At 54.7% G+C, this 19,196-nt stretch overlaps 1 protein-coding gene and 1 long non-coding RNA gene across 3 annotated transcripts in view, besides 4 other annotated features; one reads left to right on the forward strand and one right to left on the reverse strand.

Moving 5' to 3' along the window:
- Nucleotides 52-251: an enhancer, noted in NCBI's record as "active region_23766". NCBI's record gives its function as "activates an Ori minimal core promoter by ATAC-STARR-seq in GM12878 lymphoblastoid cells {active_cell/tissue: GM12878}" and the evidence as "EXISTENCE:reporter gene assay evidence [ECO:0000049][PMID:35858748]".
- On the forward strand, nucleotides 76-2,356 carry MRNIP-DT (MRNIP divergent transcript). The gene is made up of 2 exons (NR_134283.1): nucleotides 76-285; nucleotides 1,103-2,356. It is a non-coding gene; the product is annotated as an MRNIP divergent transcript (long non-coding RNA).
- Nucleotides 322-451: a silencer, noted in NCBI's record as "silent region_16752". NCBI's record gives its function as "represses an Ori minimal core promoter by ATAC-STARR-seq in GM12878 lymphoblastoid cells {active_cell/tissue: GM12878}" and the evidence as "EXISTENCE:reporter gene assay evidence [ECO:0000049][PMID:35858748]".
- A 787-nt stretch (nucleotides 2,357-3,143) lies between the features above and the next one.
- The window catches only part of TBC1D9B (TBC1 domain family member 9B), a 45,827-nt gene continuing 29,774 nt past the window's right edge, over nucleotides 3,144-19,196 (reverse strand). The window contains exons 11-22 of one of the 2 annotated variants that reach the window (NM_198868.3): nucleotides 16,993-17,110; nucleotides 15,975-16,260; nucleotides 14,192-14,321; nucleotides 13,965-14,063; nucleotides 12,535-12,603; nucleotides 11,328-11,568; nucleotides 10,842-10,907; nucleotides 8,851-8,922; nucleotides 8,518-8,568; nucleotides 6,911-6,961; nucleotides 6,327-6,433; nucleotides 3,144-5,201 (exon numbers count right to left, since the gene is read on the reverse strand). In NM_198868.3, the coding sequence (NP_942568.2) occupies nucleotides 4,521-5,201; nucleotides 6,327-6,433; nucleotides 6,911-6,961; nucleotides 8,518-8,568; nucleotides 8,851-8,922; nucleotides 10,842-10,907; nucleotides 11,328-11,568; nucleotides 12,535-12,603; nucleotides 13,965-14,063; nucleotides 14,192-14,321; nucleotides 15,975-16,260; nucleotides 16,993-17,110 (1,971 nt within the window). In that variant the 3' untranslated portion in view covers nucleotides 3,144-4,520. The remainder of the gene's footprint in view (nucleotides 5,202-6,326; nucleotides 6,434-6,910; nucleotides 6,962-8,517; nucleotides 8,569-8,850; nucleotides 8,923-10,841; nucleotides 10,908-11,327; nucleotides 11,569-12,534; nucleotides 12,604-13,964; nucleotides 14,064-14,191; nucleotides 14,322-15,974; nucleotides 16,261-16,992; nucleotides 17,111-19,196) is intronic. The other variant, NM_015043.4, reaches the window with a different exon arrangement.
- Nucleotides 8,220-8,746: an enhancer, noted in NCBI's record as "H3K4me1 hESC enhancer chr5:179294147-179294673 (GRCh37/hg19 assembly coordinates)". NCBI's record gives its function as "activates a minimal SCP1, AML or CMV promoter by ChIP-STARR-seq in naive H9 embryonic stem cells {active_cell/tissue: H9 hESC(naive)}" and the evidence as "EXISTENCE:reporter gene assay evidence [ECO:0000049][PMID:30033119]".
- Nucleotides 16,197-17,396: an enhancer, noted in NCBI's record as "CDK7 strongly-dependent group 2 enhancer chr5:179302124-179303323 (GRCh37/hg19 assembly coordinates)". NCBI's record gives its function as "activates an origin of replication core promoter dependent on BRD2, BRD4, P300/CBP, MED14 and CDK7 cofactors, with strong dependence on CDK7, by STARR-seq in HCT116 cells {active_cell/tissue: HCT116}" and the evidence as "EXISTENCE:reporter gene assay evidence [ECO:0000049][PMID:35650434]".

The following is a 19,196-nucleotide window of genomic DNA, read 5'->3' on the forward strand; positions in this document are numbered from 1 at the left end:
CCGGCCGCCGCGGCCCCGCCCCTGCGCACTGGGATCCCTCTAGCCTGCCGCGCCTCTCGCTGGTCATCTGCGCCCCTCCGACCTCGGAAAGAGTCCTGGGTGCGGGATTCCTGGTAGCCGACTCGTCGTCTGACCAGGGCCGTGCCCGCATCTTCCTAAGGCACTGGTTCCGGCCCTGGGGAGACTGGAATTGAGACGACAGGGCCTCCGCTGACCAGTCCTTGGACACAACGCGGAGCGGGGCTGAGGGGCCGCCCTGCCAGGCCTGCGCTGCCGTGCTTTTAGGTAGCAGCGAACAGTTAGCCTTTGAACCGGAGCCCGGGGTGGAATACGGGGAGACGGAGGGGCTCACCACACCCACGCTTCCCGGAGAGGGCGGCGGAGGCGCGCGGCCGCCGAGCGCGAAGCCGGTCCCCCTGCAGCCCCGGGAGCGTCCCAGGCCCACCCTACGGAGGGTGGAGGCGCCCCCGCAGCCCGACGCTCACGCCGCAACCCTGTGTGGCTTAGGGTTGTAACCTCGTTGGAAAATAAAATACAAAAAATATTAAAATTACCTCCCACCGTACAACCCTCGGTGTCTAGGGTTGTAATTTTAATTTTTTTTCCAACTTTTACACAGTGACTATCACCAAAAAAGCGAGGTGTTTTTTTTTTGTTTTTTGTTTTTGGAGACAGTCTCGCTCAGTCGCCCAGGCTGGAGTGCAGTGGCGTGATTCTCCTGCCTCAGCCTCTCCAGTAGCTGGGATTACGGATGCCCGCCACCACGCCCAGCTAATTTTTGTATTTTTAGTAGAGACGGTGTTTCTCCATGTTGGCCAGGCTGGTCTCGAACTCCTGACCTCAGGTGATCCACCCGCCTCGGCTTCCCAAAGTACTGGGATTACAGACGTGAGCCACTGCACCCGGCCGACACTCGCTTTTAACAGCAGAAACCATCCCGTTGAAGAAAACACCCAATCCTGACAAGGGTGCAGGGAGGGCTACCCCTCTGACAGGGTGCTGGGAGAACGGTCAAGTGCAAAACCGTGGAAAGCAACCTGGCAATACTGCTACCCCAAGAAAGGAATCCCTTCACCTAGGTGATTTATTATTCATTCCCTAGTGTTCCCTGAAGAATACTAGGAAGAAATGGAAATCAGTGTTCTGAAGAACGGCACGGACTCTTAGGCAGTTCCATCAGCAAGAACCTGAGTTTGAAGTGACAACGTGCTGTGGAGAGGCAAGGTTACAGAATTACAGTACATCGTTTGACTTCTGTGACACCGGCATTATTTTCTGGCGTGTGTGTGTGTGTGTGTGGCTAAGGTCGTAGGTAATGCTAATTTTTAAATTTTTCCAACTTTTGTACAGTAAGTAGTTAGAAAAAAAAATTGAGAGACAATATGCCAATAGACAATGGTCAGATAACGAATGACAATAAACTGACTGCAGCCTCTGCAGTAACCGGGCAGTCGGCTGCTTGGGAAGGACGTGGTCAGGACTGCTTGCTCCTCTATTTTTTGTACCACCCTCCCCATGTCAGAACCAACCCAAGAAAGCGCTCCCCAAACCAGTCACAGAAAACATCCTGCTTCTTGTTAGCTCACCTCCAGTTTCCAACAGCCTGCGGTCAGAACCACCTGGAGCCTTCCCCGTTTTCCACCCCCTGCGTCCTTGCGCCTACCCACACCGGGGATGTTGCTGACTCCCTTGCTGTAGCAAGCTCTGAATACTGTTTCTCATTTGGGTGGTTTTCCTTCATTTCTACGTTTGAGCTACTGTGGCTGAGAACAGAAAGCATCTGCAAAAAATGTTTTATGCTTAATGAAAGGAGTAGAATAAAAATTTCATATATGACATCAGTTAAACTCTGAAAAAAAATACAGAATAAACACCAAAATACTGAGTAATCTGTAGCACTAGGAAAAATTGTTCTACTTTTCTGTATATTTTTCTCCTTTTGGCAATGAACCGGTAATCCTTTAAAAATTCATGTATATAGTTTTTTTTCTTGGAAATTATAAGAATGATTTGATGAGTGGTTTGATGCAACTTATATTACTTGGTAAGCAGTTTTAAAATATTCATGTTTACTTATAAAATTTAAATTTTTTATTTGTATTATCTATATATTATTTAATGTTACTGTTCTGGTTGTTAAACATTTTGAGTTATCTTCCCAGGTTGAATGATTTATGGATTAAAGTACTATTGTACATTTTCGTACATTGTATCACGTGAATAGGCCAGATTCCTCTTTCCTATTCTTTGGTTAATTTCTTTGGTGTATTCACAAGCTTATACTTCCATATATTAAAAACATTTATCTTACCTCTGTAAAGACAAAAAATGGGAAATAAAAAGCCATTTATCCAAATTCCAAGTTATTCAAATCTAATTGAATATAATCAGTGTAAGACTTAAAATTGCCAAATATGTGGGGTTATTATATCTTAATTATATTAAGGCCAACAATGGTCTTTTTGGTATAAATCATTTGAAATTATTTTATGGTACTTTGTGTAAATACTAGAAAGGAAATTGAAGCCAGGCATGCTGGTTCATGCCTGTAGTCCCAGCTACTAGGGAGGCTGGGGCAGGAGGATTACTTCAGGCCAAGAGTTTGAGGCTGCCATGAGCTATGGTCATGCCACAGCACTCCAGTCTGTCTCTAAAACAAACAAACAAGCAGACCGGGCATGGTGGCTCACGCCTGTAATCCCAGCATGTTGGGAGGCCGAGGCGGGTGGATCACGAGGTCAGGAGTTTGAGACCAGCCTGGCCAATATGGTGAAACCCCATCTCTAGTAAAAATAGAAAAATTAGCTGGGCGTGGTGGTGCACGCCTGTAGTCCCAGCTGCTTGGGAGGCTGAGGCAGAAGAATTGCTTGAACCCAGGAGGCAGAGGTTGCAGTGAGCTGAGATCACGCCACTGCACTCCATGCTGGGCAACAGAGCAAGACTTGGTCTCAAAAAACAAAAAAACAAAAAAACAAAAAAACAAAGCTACTTAATTAAAACAAAAACAGCAGCCACAGAGATATACAATAGTACCTGAGTTTCACCTTCTGCAGCTTTAGTTACCCAGAGTCAACAGCCACCTGGAAAAGAGATGAGTACAGTACAAGAAGATATTGTGAGACAGACCACATTTACAACTTTCATTACAGTATAACCGTTACATTTTATTATTAGTTATTGTTGTCAATCTCTTAAGGTGCCTAATTCATAAACTTAATCACAGGTATGTATGCATAGGAAAAAACAGTATGTATAAGGTTTGTTATTATCTGTGGTTTTAGACATCCACTGGGGGTCTGGTTTTAGATATCCACTGTATCCCCTGTGGATAAGGGGGTAACTGCTGTATCTTTTAGTAGAAGCAAGAGCAGCCCCATGTGGGGGCTAACACTGGACACTGGTCAGTTTCAGCTCCTCATGCAAAGTGAGGGTATCCTTGTGGCTCCAGCCCTGGGGCCCCCTGCGGTCACCTTTGGCTCCACAGTCTGGTTCTTGAACCCAAGGGCAGACAGCTTGCTACAGCCCAGGCCTGAGGATGCACTTCCTTCACCAGGACCCACAACCCCTGCCCATGAAGACCTGTGGAGCTCAGGGCATCCCCTGATGCAGGTTGGTCAGGACCTGCCCAGCTTGCACCAGCAGGTTCTGCGTCTCCATCTGACCTGGCAGACCTTGCACTCTTCCACCCACTGTGGAGGACTAAGTGTCTTGAACTTCCAGAACACAGCCAGGGCCCCATACTTGGCCTGGGGAGAAGTTGGGAGGCCTAAGCAGTGGTTGGGGGCCACAGCAAGGCATTGCACACAGTGGTTTTTATTTCTTTCAGGGATTTATTAAGGCATTGAGCACAGTGTAATTTCTAGCCAAGTGAAATGAATCCAAGGAAATATATCAGGACCTGAGGGATGTTTTTTTAAAGTTACTGGAAAGGATGATGAGCTGAGAGCACGTGTACAGCCACGCCTGTGCGCAGCGCCCACTCTGTGCAATAAACATGTTCTGCCCATGTTCCTCAGTCAGGAGGTTCAGGCTCCCGGAGAGCACCTGAGGGTTCCATCACTTTGGTGCCCAACAAGCACATGCCCCCCAACCTGGTGCCAAGAGGCAGGAATGACCCCCATACCACATAGCTGCAGGAAAGCATCCACGGATGGAGGGACTCAGCTGGCCTGGCCGCAGTGTGGAGCACAGAGGTATGAGGCAAGCAAGGGCAGATCTGAGAGCCTGTAATGCTAGGCAGGTGCAGCTGGTGCGAGGCGGGCTCCCACCAGGTGTAAGGAAGGTGGGAGCCACAGCCTCTTCCTGGGCCCAGAAGCAGCCGGCGCCAGGAGATGCAGGCCCAGGGAATCTGTCTAAGGCAGCTGGGTCTGCACCAGCCTTCTTTCCACTCACAACTCACTGCTCCTGGGAGAGCAGGAGGGGCACACCTTTAAAGAGAAACTGATAAGGGAGGAAAGGCAGGAGGAGATGAGGCCAGCCCCACTGATGACACCTTGGGCCAGGCCTCACAGCTGCAGGCATCAGCCGGAAACTCCAGGCTGCTCATGGTCACTGGCGGTGCTGAACTGTCTCTCCACTTTCTTTTGGTCCTTGATCTTGAGTCCAATGTCCACTCTCTTCTCAAAGAAGTTCACCAGCACGGACTCCGTCAGGATGGAGGCCAGGATCTGCTCAAAGGAGATGCACCAGTCGGTGTCGACGGTGCCGCCGATGCGCGCTGTGGGGCTGCAGGCCTCCCCGCCCACCAGCACCGTGTCGTCTGCAAGGTCTTCACATTGCAGGGAGCCCGTGCTGACCACCGAGTAGGAGGACATGGACATGTCGTCTTTGGTTTCATCGTCAGACAGCAGCTGGGAGGGTGAGCCCTGTCCCTCGCCGCTGCCCCCCTCCACCACCACCTGGCTCTCCTGTGGGGCTTTTCCGAGGTGTGTGTCTCCGCCTGCTTTGGCTTGGGGGTCTCCTGCAGCTGGGGGCTGAAGCTCCCTGGCTGCGTCCTGATGCAGTTCGGGTGCTGGTGGCTCGTCCTCCTCAGTGGCACAGTCCCTGGGCTTCCTGCCTGTGCGGGCTGAGAACTTCTTCCCCACCTCTCCGATGCGGAGCAGGAGGCTGGCCACGGTGGCGATGGCGTGGTACAGGTCCTGCTCCATGGGGTCTTCACTGAACATGTTGTAAAGCGTCTTGCACAGCTCAATGAACTGCTCCTTTTAGGGAGAAAAACAGAAGAACAGGGAGATGGTAAAAGACCAGTCAGACGGGGTCCATATTAGCCAAACTGATGACAAGCACCAGCCTAAGGATGTTGGCTGCCGTCTTGCTAATCATCTCCATGAGCCTCATCAGTCCCATCTCACAGATCAGGACACAGGCTCAGAGAGGCCACACAGCTCTTCAAAAGGCTTTCCCCTCCAGCTGCCTTTCTCTTGGCACTCAGAGCATGCTGGTCTGACCTGGGGCCTCCCTGTTTCTAGGTCCGTTCTGTTGGCACAGGGAGATGGATTTCTACCACGACTCTAAATCCAGTCAGTACAAGGACTTCGTTGTGTTTTAGAATCACCTTTGGTTTTAATCAGAAGCAGCCTCAACTCAGCCCTTGAATGAAGCTCTTTAGAAGGTGATGGTGAGGAAAATACAGCCTGGGTCAGCTGGGGAGGGGGATCCTGGGGAGGGGGGTGCTGGGGAGGGTGGGTGCTAGGTCCTGAAGCCACACGTCTAGGCCTCCTGGCCCAAGAATGGGAAGAATCCTCATCGCACGTGGTGCCCACCCTCCAGGCCTGCTGGGGGAGTGGTCAGATTGCAGGGTCCCCTACTGGGCACAGCTAGACCGTGGGTCTGGCCCGAGGGCCATGGTCAGGCTGGTGCTCCAGACTTGCCTTTGGCTCAACGCTTGCAGTTTGGAGCTGGGGTCTCCCATTTTCTGGCTTTGAGACCCTTGGCAAGACACCATGCTTCTGATCTGCGAGACCAGTGAATGAAGAGCGGGTGTGGAGGATGCATGTGAGCCTGCGTGTGCAGAGCCCTGGGCAGGGCTGGGAGGGTGCAGGGTGTGGAACGCATATCTTGTCAAAGGTAGCCTACAAGCCTCTGGCTCCTGGTTCACAGACACTCACTCAATCTGGAAACATGCCCCTATACAAGGCCCTGGAGCAACTGGCCTCTTGTCTTTCTGGAATCATCGCTGACTGGCAACCAGGACTAACGGGCTCTAGAGGCAGGGAGGAGCCTTCCCACCCACCAGGAGATGCTGCAGTGCAGGTGCGGTGATGTTAGGGCCCAGTCTTGGTCAGAACTCTCCAGAAATGTCTACTGTGGGCTCCAGTGGAGCCTACCTGGTTCATCTTGGGAAGATCCTTAATCGTCTCCTTCTGAGCCTCTTTCTCCTTGGCCCACATTCGAAGGTAGTGCCGATAGTCCGGAGAGCTGGTCCCCTTCTCCTCTGCAGGTTAGGAGGAAAGAGATTAATCTTTGTCATGTGAGACGGCTGCGGGCTGACAGCAGGGAGAGGAAGAGTTGGGTGTTTTCTGGCATGGAGTTACCAGGGCCCTATCATAAAACACCCTGGCGTTTGGGAAGGTGGTCATGGGAAAAAAACCCAGAACAGCCACAGGTTTTCCCTAAATTGCTGCAGTGGTTGGACCTAAGCTGATGACAATGATCCACAATGTCTTCTCTCAGATGGGGAGTCACAGGGCAGCTGGAGAGAAGCTGGCAAGAGAGGGCTGGCTGGGTGCCCGTGGGGCTGGTGGAGAGCGTGGAGCCTCCTGTGCATCCCGAGGCCTGCTCCCTGATCGGGGGACGCATCCGCCATCTCCCGGGGTAGGGGGCTCCCTGGCAGTGACTGGGGAAAAGACCAGCAAGCAAGGGTGCCTCAACGCTGGGGTCTCTAAGAACAGCGGCAGAGAATGGCCTGTACCTCCTCTCTCCTCACTTCCACTTCCTTCTTGCTCTTCCTGTGGTAGTGCTTCTGGACAAACGCAAAAATAAAAAGAACATGAATAACATTCTGCTGTTGGGACTGCAAGCTCCTGGGGTCCTTGAGATGTAGTCTGTGTTTCTGTACAGCCAGCCCCAGGCCAGGCCCTGGGGAGCAGGTCTCCCATGCCACACCTCCTGCCTGGCCCGCCCAGCCCCGCCCTATGGCACCAGAGCAAAAGGGCCTGAGCATTCCCTCACTTGGTCAGGTTAAAATAAAGGCCGCCAAACCCTCAATTCCTTTTTTCAAATGAATACAAGTCTCAACATGCTGGTTTTGACGTGAACAATGATGAGGGCTATAGACCAGTCTGAGGACTAACGAATTCTATAGTTCCTGCTAGAACTCTGGGGAATGTTCCTGCTAGAACTCAGGGGAACCCTAATGACCCCTTCCACCCGCGCCTGCTGTGCCTGTTACTGAGGGGTGGTCTGTGCACAGCTCCTGTGCTTGGTGCAGCGTTTCGGGGAGGACATTTGCCGGAACTGGCGCGCACTATACTCCCTGCGTGGGAACATGCACCTGGGGAGAGAAGCAGCCGACCAGCTCTCCTGGAGCTGTTCCCCAAAGGCAGTGTGGCTGGTGGGGGCACCTCAGGCAGGTCGGCAGCACCCCAGTTCTGAGCTGCTCTCGCTGGCTGTCTGGTGGCAGTGAAGGGCACACCTCTCTGGGCTCAGGCAACTCACCCTGGAATGGAGGCCCTGCTTCCTGGGGGCCACATGCGGTCTGAGGCCAGGGCTCTGCACCAACATGCCGCTCCCAGAAGCATGCGGGACAAGCCTAGAGTGGCCTGCTGGTTCCATGTACAACAGAAGGTGTACCTGCTTCTGTAGTTTCTGTCCTTGAAATCAAGGTCCTCAAGCTCAAGTCAGCCTCTGCCACTGTCACCAGGACTGCCATGGGCATCTTGGTACACACTATTTTTGGTTCTCTTTTGAGTCGGTTCCTTGGTGTGCATTATCCCCCATGTGAAACCACCAGGTGGCATTATGGTCGGTTTTGCAAGTGTGCTGCATGTCACCAGCTCGACTGCGAAAGCCCAGGGCCTAGCATGCTCCCATCACCTGGGATCAGATGCTCCCAACAGGCTTTAAACATAGCACAGGGATGAGTTCTAACAGGCACTCAACATGCGTGTTTTTCCTTAACAAAAAACGTGACGTGGAACATGAAGATTTTTCCTAGGAAAGCATCCACTATTCTTTCCAGCCCCCACTCAGCCACACTGTGTCTTTCACACGCTCCAATGACAGCATTTTGTATTTGTTTCCTACTCACAGGAAGACAGAATGTCTCTAACATGTGGCTGTGGAGGCCTTGCCCTGGGCCTGCTTGGCGCCTAGTGTGGGGGCCTTATTTACCGCCCACCTACAGCAGACACGGAGGCGGTGCAGAGGAGTGGCTTGCTTCTGGGTCCTTCTCAGAACTTATGCCCCAGAGGATGAAGTCCCAGAGAGGTCCCTGGGACAAAGAGCTTCCAGGCTTCCTGATAGTGCAGGAAGAGTGTTAGGAGGTACAGGGGGCGCCCCTGCCTTCCAGGGACTGACCTTGAGCCTCCCAGGGCAGGAAAAGATCCAGATCTGAGGCCAGAGGAGATGCTGGAAGGGACAGCAGAGGAGAGGCAGAGGGGCAGAGTGGGGAGGAGCCAAGGTCCAGGAAGACAGAGACACAAGAGAAACAGGAGTGAGGACATCCACAGGGGGCGGCCCCAGCCCCCGCCAGCATGGCAGAGCCCAGCCCGTGGTCCCCTGGGGAGAACCCCATGCGGCCTGCTCCCTGAGCCCAGGTGGGACTGCTGGCCACTGCCCGAGCCCCACAGGAAGGCGGCGGTGGCTGCAGAGTGCTGGCTGGGCATGTCGGGTGTTCCAGTGGCCGCTCACCTTCTGAGGAGCTGTCCTCTGTGAAATAATGGGCCGCCTCCAGGGCTGACTCGGCTTCCTCTGGGCTCAGAGCTGTGCTTGGAGAGAAGGCAGAGTGAGGGCAGGAGGAAACAAGGAGATCCTCTCAGAGTAAGTTCCCTCCAGCCCTGGGCAGAGCCTTGCTTTCCCTGCCCACGAGCCTGGCCAGTCCCAGCACCTGCCCATGACAGTGCCCGGTAATAGTTTTGATGGTGATGATTGGTTCTGGTTATTTGTTACTTTCCTCAGCTTTTTTTTTTTTAATGGACTCTCACTTTATCACCCATGCTGCAGTGCAGTCACATGATCTCAGCTCACTGCAAGCTCCGCCTACTGGGCTACAGTGATTCTCCCACCTCAGCCTCCCAAAGTGCTGGGATTACAGGCGTGAGCCACCGCACCCAGCCTGGAGTTTTGCTCTTGTTGCCCAGGCTGGAGTTCAATGGCACGATCTCGGCTCACTGCAACCTCCACCTACCGGGTTCAGGTGATTCTCCCGCCTCAGCCTCCCAAGTAGCTGGGACTACAAGCACACACCACCACGCCCAGCTAATTTTTGTATTTTTAGTAGAGACAGGTTTCATCGTGTTGGCCAGGCTGGTCTCCAACTCCTGACTTCAAGTGATCCACCCGCCTGGGCCTCCTACTGCATCCAGCCGCTTTCCTGACTTTGACATTGTGTTTGAAAAGGAAATACATGTCCCAGGTAAAAATCCAATCAACACAATTAGGAGTCCAGTGAATGGCAGCTGCCCGCCTGCCCCAGTGACCATCTGGCCAGTGGGCCCTTTGGGGGCGTTTCATGCTCCTATGGGCGCACAGGAACCAGCCACGCACAGGCAACTTGCTGCTCTCCCTTTGGGTAGCTCAGAGGTCGGGCCGCGTTGTGCGTGCTGGCCGGCCTCATTCAGTGCAGTCTTTGCTGGAGGTCACCAAGCAGTACCCAGGGTTGCGGATCGCATGGTCCTGGGTGAGTGTAGCGGGCATGGGCCACAAGCCCAGCAGAGCCCAAGTGTTCTCTGTGTCTGGACAGGACAGGGCAGGGCAGGCTGAGGAGGCTCAGGAGTCTCAGGGTAGCCCCGCATGCTCTCAACCCTGGGACCAGGCCCAGTGGGGTCTGTCCTACCACGGCCTCTCTGGTGAGCCAGCCACAAACGAGAACAGCTATGTCAAGAGCCTTCAGCTCTGGAGGCACAGAGCAATGGCCTGCCAGCTTTAAAAACCACAGGTCTGGGCCCCATCACAGGCAATCAAGTGAGAATCTCCTCGGGTGAAGCTCAGCCCCAGTATTCTAAACATCCCCGGGGTCGGTTCTGAGGGCAGCTGCTAACCTCAGATGGCAAAGCGACAGCAGGGACCTGGGGCAGGTCCAGCCACAGCAGAGTGCCCAGCCCAGGATTTCCACCTGCCTGCGCCTTTGTTTCCTTCTGTGATGAGGGAGATGACCCCTCCTTGGAGCATTGTCCATGCAGCCACTCCTGCTGAGCCCTGCCCCCTGCACAGACAGCCTGTCGCCAGTGCAGCCCCACTAGGCTACAGCACCACTGAGAGGCCAGAGAGAAGTGGCCCCTCCTCATGGCCATGTGACAGGATTCTCTAGCTGAAACTCTGGGAATAAACCCTTAAGAAACTTGACAGATAAATGCAGCAGTTTCGGTTCCAGCCCTGAAGCTCCACTCATGGCCCTCCTAGTGGGTTTTGGGTCCAGCTGCCTCCTCGGTGGGAGTTCTGTACCCAGCAGTGCCCGGTCACCCATGGGATTCTCCTCCACGTCCCTTCCCAGGCCAAGGCCCTGCTCTCAGACCTCTGTGAAGTGCTCAAGCTCCCGCTCCCTCTCCTCCAATGTGAACCTCCAGCCTGCGACGCTGCTGTGCCCCCTCGAGGCCCCACAGTCTCACAGAGGCCTGTCCTCTGCAGCTGAACTTCTGGACAAGTGGGAGACCCTGGCTGGGGAGTGGGCAGGAGGCTCTCACCTGGGGGAAGGTGTAGCTTGTAGAGCACCTTGAGCTTCTCTGTCAGGTCCCCGTGGTACATCCCGCCTGTGGAGAAGGCCAGGGAGGGCTGGGTCTGGCAACATGGCTGCAGAGCCCCTTCCAGGGGGTCCGAGTAGGACCCTCTTCACAGCCTGTGCTGCCCAACTCCCTCCTGGAGAGGTCACAGGGTGAGTCCCAGATCTCCTGTCTCCCTGGCGTCCTGCTGGGAAGGCTCAGCCCTTCCCTGGGGCTGGCAGACCAGCTTCTAGCAGCCCCAGACTGCATGAGGGAGGGGAGCGGGCAAGGCTCCTGCTGGACCCCATCTCGGCTCCCGTGGGTAAACTGTTCTTCCCGTATCTAGGGCCAGGGGCTCAAGCTGCCCCCTACTTGCTGCAGGGGGAACAGACAGGAGATGCTGGCATTTGGAGGCTTCCTGGGAAAGGGTGAGGGAGGGTCAAGCCCCTGGTAGGCCCTGCAGGCACTCACTCATCCCTGTCACGAACTCCTTGAAGTTGATCAGCGAGTCCTTGTTTTCGTCCAGGAGCCTGAACATGCGCCCTGCCAGCAGAGGTGTGTGGGAGCCACAGGCCCAGGGTGTCAGGCTGGCAAAGAGTTCCCGGAACTGGCTGGCATCAATCCGGTACTGCTCCAGGTAGGGCAGGCTGGGGTCCCGACGGCCGGCCATTGTGCGGCTGCACCCCCAGTACTGGCTAGCCAGGTGCTTGGCCTGTGGGACACGGTCTGGTGAGACGGTCCAGCCGCTAAGCCTGTGGGTCGAGGGGACCCCTAGGCTGGTGGTGTGTCCACCCTCCCCCTCTGTCCAAGCCTGCGGAGCCCTGGGGCGGTAAGCACGGGCCAGACACTGCAGCACCTCCCGAAAGCTCTCAGGCTGTCATCAGCCCCTTGTTAACAGATGGGGAGGGGGTTGGCTGAGAGACAGAGTCCTTGGCAGCCTGCAGGGGGCAGAGCTGGTCTGCTGGCCCCAGAGAAGGGCTGAGCCTTCCTGGCAGGGCTCCAGGGAAACAAGAGGCCTGAGGCTTGCTCTCGCTCCTATGACCTCTCTAGGAGGCAGGCAGAGCTGGCTCAACTGTTGTGACGCTAGGGCCACAGCGCAGCAGCCACCTTGAGCACGGAACCTGAGGCAGCTGGAGAGGTGGACGGGAACTGGCAACAACAACAGAAAGGCAGATTCCAACCATTAAGGCTGGGTCTTTTGCTAAAAGCACAAGGGAAAGAAAAATTCTCTTTGCACTGGGATTACTGAGAAGAGAGTATGACCCTGGAGCTGTGACGACAGTCCTGGCATGGTGTAGGAAGAGCAGTGCAGAGGACATCAGAGATGGGGAAGCCTGACGGCACATTTCAGCACCTGGATCCAGCCATGCCTGAAGCTGTGCATTGCTAGACTTTTCAGTCTAGCAATACAGGGGCAATGTATTCCCTCTTCTGTGTAAGATGACTTGAATGGATTTGCTGCCATTTAAGAGGTCCTGCCTAAACTCCAAGAGGGATTCGATTCTACCACAGGAGGTTCATGGCAACTGCATCTGAGGATGCACTTAGATCTGTTTCTGTTTTTCTATTCTATTCCCTATTTCTATCTACTTCTAAGAGGATACTCTTAGATCCATTTCTTTTCTGGCAGGAAGCTAGGAAGCTAGGAACGGGTCCTGCCCTGGCTCTGAGCTGTCACCTTAAACACCATGTAAAGGTCCTCCAGCTCTTCAATGGAGAAACCAATGTCCACAGGTATAGCTCGGACCTAGAAGGAAGGAGAAACAGGGTATATAGCTGGATCACAAGCTCCTGGCACAGAAGTACGGCACTCTGTGAGAGCATCCTCGGCAGACAAGGGCAAGGGTGTGAACCGCCCTCTCAGTGGCCCAGCACTCAAGGGCGGACCCTTCGGGAGAGAGCGAGGCCCACAGCCCATCCCTGGCCCCCCACCTACCACTCAGCTCACACTCCGGGCTCCTTTCCAGGATGGGCGTGGGGGAGTCTCTCTCTCACACTCCGGGCCCCTTCCCAGGATGGGCGTGGGGGAGCCTCTCTCTCACACTCCGGGCCCCTTCCCAGGATGGGCTTGGGGGAGCCTCTCTCTCACACTCCGGGCCCCTTCCCAGGATGGGCGTGGGGGAGTCTCTCTCTCACACTCCGGGCCCCTTCCCAGGATGGGCGTGGGGGAGCCTCTCTCTCACACTCCGGGCCCCTTCCCAGGATGGGCGTGGGGGAGCCTCTCTCTCACACTCCGGGCCCCTTCCCAGGATGGGCGTGGGGGAGCCTCTCTCTCACACTCCGGGCCCCTTCCCAGGATGGGCGTGGGGGAGCCTCTCTCTCACACTCCGGGCCCCTTCCCAGGATGGGCGTGGGGGAGCCTCTCTCTCACACTCCGGGCCCCTTCCCAGGATGGGCGTGGGGGAGCCTCTGTCCTCAACGTGCAGCTGAGGTCGCAGAGTGAGGGATACTCATTTGGCTCCCGTCATCTGGATCCCTGCAGAGACCCTGGTGCCAGCTCTGTGGAAGGAGGCCGAGAACCTGCCAGCCAATGCTCCTGTACTTTAATTGGCCAAAGCAGTCAGTCTGTGGTGCTGCGACCCAATGTCCTTACAGTGTCCTACAAGCCTGCAGGAGGGCTGGGAATGTGGAAACAATGGAGGAAGTCCCTGCCTTTGGGGGCAGAGACCACAAACAGGTCTTGCAGCACAGGGTGGCAGGGAGGGCCTGGCCCCTCTAGAGATGAGAACAGCAGCTTGTGGCAGACACATGCCATTTGGGGTGTGCGGAGGATGGCGGCATGTTGCTACCTGGGAGTGGGGCAGGGAACACATGGGAAGCCAGGCTGGGCGGGCTCGGCCCAGAGGGCTGGGCATGTGGCTTTCAGGGTGGGAGCCATCTGAGAAGCTTCCCGGTGACACATCCACCAGCAGAGAAAAGTGACTGGAACCTCTCCCCACATTCCCACCTACACCCCTGGATCCCGGTCCCATGAATCCTACCATGATGTACATACCAAAGCAGTGTAGGAGACTGGGTGCGGTGGAGCCCTGTACCCACCCTGCTCTGTGGGGAAGGCACTGCTGCCCCCCCAGCCCAGCCCCTGCCCAGCCCTGCTGGCACCCATACCACACTCCTCTTGGCCGTGTCCTCCAAGGACTGGATCACTTTCAGCCTCTGTTTAAACCGCATCTGCTCAATGTCTTCGGCCCTCAGGCTGCTGAATTTCTATAGGGAGAGGTGACTTGGTGAGATCAAGCCAACTGCAGGGCAGAGGGCCACCACCTGCCCATAGCCACCCCAACCCACATGCCAGATGGAGCGGCCTGGCCAAAATGGCCCCACTGGGTGCTGACCTCATAGGACACTTTCAGGAGCTCAAAGATGTCCACCTCTGCAGGGGGGTCATCGCTGCTGCTCAGCAAGGCACGGAGGTGCGGGATAGGAGGAGAGACACTCTGCTTGTTGACCACATTATCCAGGTATCTGCAAAGGACAGAGGACAACAGTCCAGACCACGCCCAGGCAGAGGGAGCCTCCTTCCCACAGCTGGGTGATGCGGAGGGACCCAATCTTTATGCAGACTCCTAATAAGGAGTGTGCAGAGGACTGGGCACCCTGCAGGAGGGCAGAGGTGTGCCCTGGCAGCGCCCCCAGCAAGTTGGGGAGCCCTCTACAGGGCAGTGCCCCCGACAAGGCCTGAGCACTAACCCTGAGGACGCTGGGCTGTTTTCTTAGTCAGTGGGGGGGTCCCTTGGGCAGGAACGCCTTATAACCCCAGATCCTACCCAGTTGGAAGGATGACGAGCTTCCTCCCTTTGGCGGGGCCCTGGGGATGTGGGACCTTCTCGCCCTGGCCAAGAAGATTCAGGGATCAAAGGTTGAGTCGCAGGAGAAAGTCAGGTGTGGGGAGGCCTGCTGCAGCCCAGGGAATCAGCTTCTCTAGGGACACAGTCCTGGGGATGGAGCCCTACCTCTGTCAGCTGACCTAGCCCCGCCAGAGTTCATGGCCTCTCTGGGTCCCTGGGCTGAGCCTGACACTCAGGTGGGAGGAGGTAGCTGACTCCCCATGCCCATAGCCCTGGTCATATCCCCAGTCAGACCCCTGCTCTGGAGGAGGCCCTATCCGCCTATTGTAGGAAGCGGCAGGAAAACCAGCCACAGACTCCGGCCACAGGCTGAGTATCTTAACATCAGTGTGGACCAAAAGCTACTTAGGCCCACAGTAGGGAGGTGACAACCCTGCTGGATCTAGAGAGTCCCAGGCAGCACCTGGCCTGGCCATGGGCAAGTGGCAGAGTCCCAGGCTGTTCCTGGGGGCTGGGGGCATTCCAGTCCGGACAAATACGCTATGTAGGAGGGTGGGACTGCACAGAGCTCAGGGCAGGGCAGAGTGTAGCCAGGAGGGGCCGGGGCTTGAAGGCCAGGCTGGAGGCTCAGACAGTGCCTTTGTACAGAGGACCCAGGGAAGGGGCAGGGCCAGGTCTGATCAGAGTCATGGGATGCAGGCAGGTCAAAGACTGAGAGGGGAACCCCAGGGAAAGGGCATGGTGGGCCTGGGCTGAGGCAGCAGGCTGAAGGGAAGGGGCTGGATCCCAGACAGAATCTGCAAGAGATGGGATGTGGGGACTAAGGAGGGGGTGGAGGGGCTGGGATGACCCTGGACATTTGGCGTGACTAGTGGGACATCAGCTCATCCAGCTGTTCCAGCGGGCCCAGGGCAGGCCTGCTCCCTCCAGGGCATGGGGGCTGCAATGCAGCTGAGCTTGGAGAGGTATGACCGGGACCACCTGGTGGACATGAAATGCCCAGCTGTGCCACCAACTGGAATTGTGGTCACTGGATCTTGGCTCTGGTTTGCCCTCAGGGGAAGCATCTCCAACCCTACATCTGAGCGGTGGCCCTCCAGCCAGCATGCTCTGCCCGCAGTGCCTGCTTTACTCCTCCTGGCACCTATCACTGAGCGCTGCTTCATCTCCCACTAGAAAGGAGCCGCCTCCTGACCCCAGAGCACCCCCGGGTCCAGCTGCAGCCTGGCACTTGGTGGGCACAGTCACTTCAGGCTGACTGGACAGTGCCCGGGGCTGGTGAGGGGTTCTGCTGTGAGCCCCCAGCAGGAGAAGGAACCCGGCATGTCACCTGCCCAGCATGGTCATGGCCTCGCCCTCGTCGCTGCAGCCCAGCAGCTGCTCCATGTTGGCGTCCAGGACGGCCAGGGCCACCTGCAGGATCACCTTGATGCCCTCATAGAAAAAGCAGTCGACGATGACCACGGCGCTCTCGAAGGGCATGACGCTGAGGAAGAGGGTCAGGAACCAGGACAGCGAGATGCTGGAGATCACCCCCAGGTCCTGCATCTTCTCCGAGAGCTGCGGCAGGAAGTCTCTCGTGAGCTCTTCGAAGATGCCTTGGTCCACCAGGGCTCCTGCGGGCAGGATGAGCGAGGCTGATGGTGAGCCCACCCTGTGGCCTGGGTGGGCCCTCACCTGCAGCGTACGAGCCCTGGCCACTCCAGCCCTGCCAGCTGTGCAGTGAGGGCTGAGGGAGACTTGGAGTGCTGGGAGAAAACAAGGACGAAAAAACCCTTCAAGTCTCTCTACAGCTCCCAAACCACTGGGCGAAATAACTATTTCTTCTACTACACTTGAATTTTATTTTGGGGAAATACTGATTTCTCCGTAAGGCATGAGAGGTAAACAGCACCCTCAATGACTCTGTCCCATCCTGATGATTGTGAATAGACGCAGCTCTGAAGGACCCCAAGAGCGGTAACTCCAAACACCAGACAGCAGGGGAAGGACAGGATAACATGCTTAAATATGAACCTAATTAAACACTCTTGCAAGTCCATTTCCACTTCATAACAGATTTCACTGGATATGAGTTCAGTAAAGTTGAGCATCAGGTTACATGGGGGATATATACTCTCTAGTTTTGATGTTTGAAATTTTCCATAATCAAAAAGTTGACAGGAAGTTAGATGGATAGGAATTTAGGCTCTGAGGGGACTTTTATAAACCACCGAATGTGTAATACTACCCTCTAACTCCTAGGGAACCCACGTGAAGCCTGGAGCTTGGCCTGGGAAGGGCTGCCACCCTCATGGAACCAGCAGGCACCTGGAGACCCAGGCGAGGCAGCACCCGGGGACACTCACCCACCACCCTGGTGTTGTAGTAGTCGGGCAGCATGCGCTCGCACAGGGCCACCAGGAGCCAGAAGGCCTCCTCCTCACTGCCATAGAGCAGGAGCACCGAGGTCACGATGTTCATTGCCTGCCGGGCACAGAGACAGCCGGGGAAGGCTTGCACTGCTGGCCAGCAAATAAAACTGTCTCTCCCCACCCCTCCCAGCCACCCCTCCCTGCAAGGGCCCACATGATCTTCTTTTTGTTGTTGTTATTTTTATTATTTTTCAGGTTCTCGTGGTGAAGATTAATGGCCTCCTCCTACAAGCAAATCTGCCTCTTCAGGAGGGCTGGGCATCCGGTAATGAGAAACTGCCCCTACCCAACTCTGGGAAATGTCAAAAGGCAATTTGTAGGAAACTGATGGAACAGAGAGTCTGCCAACTCCTTCAAACTGGGTCAGAAGGCACTGGGAAACCAGAGAAGGTGAACATCAACACATCACACTTCTGCGGAGTGGTGTTGGGTGTTGGAGGTGGGATTATGACCAAGCTGATGTGGAGGTGAGCCACAAGGCCAGAGCCCCACACCAAGGCCACCCACTCGGTGCACAACTAGGACCACACACAGCCCTAGCTGCTAACAAGACCTTTAAGGCAAACAGAAAGCCATATGACTTGGCCAGGAAAATGCCTAGATTTAAAATCAAAAGCTGCGAGAAATGCTAACCTAAAGTACAATTAGATACCCTCATGCCCATCACTCTAACAACAACAGAATATAGCAAGTGTTGATGAGGATGTGGAGAAATCGGAACCCTTGTGAACTGCTGGTGGGAATATAAAATGGTGCAGCTGCTGGGGAGGAAGTATGGAGTTCCTCAAAAAATTAAAAATAGGCCAGGCCACAGTAGCTCACACTTTGTAATCCTAGCACTTTAGGAGGCTGAGGAGGTCGGATCACTTGAGCCCAGGAGTTCAAGACCAGCCTGGGCCACACAGTGAGACCCCATCTCTATAAAAAATACAAAAAGTAACTGGGCGTGGTGGTGTGTACCTGTAGTTCCAGCTACCCAGGAGGCTGAAGTGGGAGGATCGATTGAGCCCAGTAGGTGGAGGCTGCAGTGAGCCATGATCATGCCACTGAGATCCAGTGTGGGCAACAGAAGGAGATCCTGTCTCAAAAAAAAAAAAAAAAAAAAAAAAAGCCCAGGAATGGTGGCTGGTGGCTCACGCCTATAATCCCAGCACTTTGAGAGGCTGAGGCGGAAAGATCACTTGAGCCTAGGAGTTTGAGGCCAGTCTGGGCAAGACAGTGAGACCCCATGTCTAAAAAAAAAATATTAGCTGGGTGTGGTGGTACATGCCCTGGGAGGCTGAGACCGGAAGATCCCCTGGTCCAAGGAGCTTGAGACCAGCCTGGACAACATAGCAAGACCCTGTCTCTAAAAATAATAATAATAATTTAAAATAAATTAAAAATAGAAATACTGGCCAGGCACAGTGGCTCACGCCTGTAATCCCAGCACTTTAAGAGGCCAAGGCAGGTGGATTACCTGATGTCAGGAGTTCAAGACCAGCCTAGCCAACATGGCGAGACCCCGTCTCTACTAAAAATACAAAACATTAACTGGGCATGGTGGCACATGCCTGTAATCCCAGCTACTCAAGAGGCTGAGGCAGGAGAATCGCTTGAACCTGGGTGGTAGAGGTTGCAGTGAGCTGAGACTGCACCACTGCACTCCAGCCTGGGAAACAAGAGTGAGATTCTATCTCAAAAAAAAAAAAAAAAAAAGAAAAGAAAAGAAAAGAAAATGTGGTCTATGTAATATGATGGAGCCTGAGAAAGAAATTCTGACACATTCATATGACATGGATGACCCTTGAGGATATCTTGCTAAGTGAAATAAGCCAGGCACAGTAAGGCAAATACTGTGTTATTTCACTTATATGAGACACAGTAGTCAAATTCATAGCAATGGAAAGTAGAACAGTGGTTGCTAATGGTGATCGGGGCATGTTTAATGGGCACAGAGCTGTGGTTTTGCAAGATGAAGAGAGGTCTGGGGATGGATGGCGGTGACGGGCGTGCAACAGTGTGAATGTGCTTAGAGCACTGAGCTGCACGCTTAAAAACAGTGAAGATGGGACATTTTATGTTCTGTATGTGCCTGTTTCACCAAACACATACAACAATCAAATGCTGCTGGGACTCAGACAAAAGTACAAAGACGA

This window comes from Homo sapiens, chromosome 5 (genome assembly GCF_000001405.40).
Source record: "Homo sapiens chromosome 5, GRCh38.p14 Primary Assembly".
NCBI classification, from domain to species: domain Eukaryota; kingdom Metazoa; phylum Chordata; class Mammalia; order Primates; family Hominidae; genus Homo; species Homo sapiens.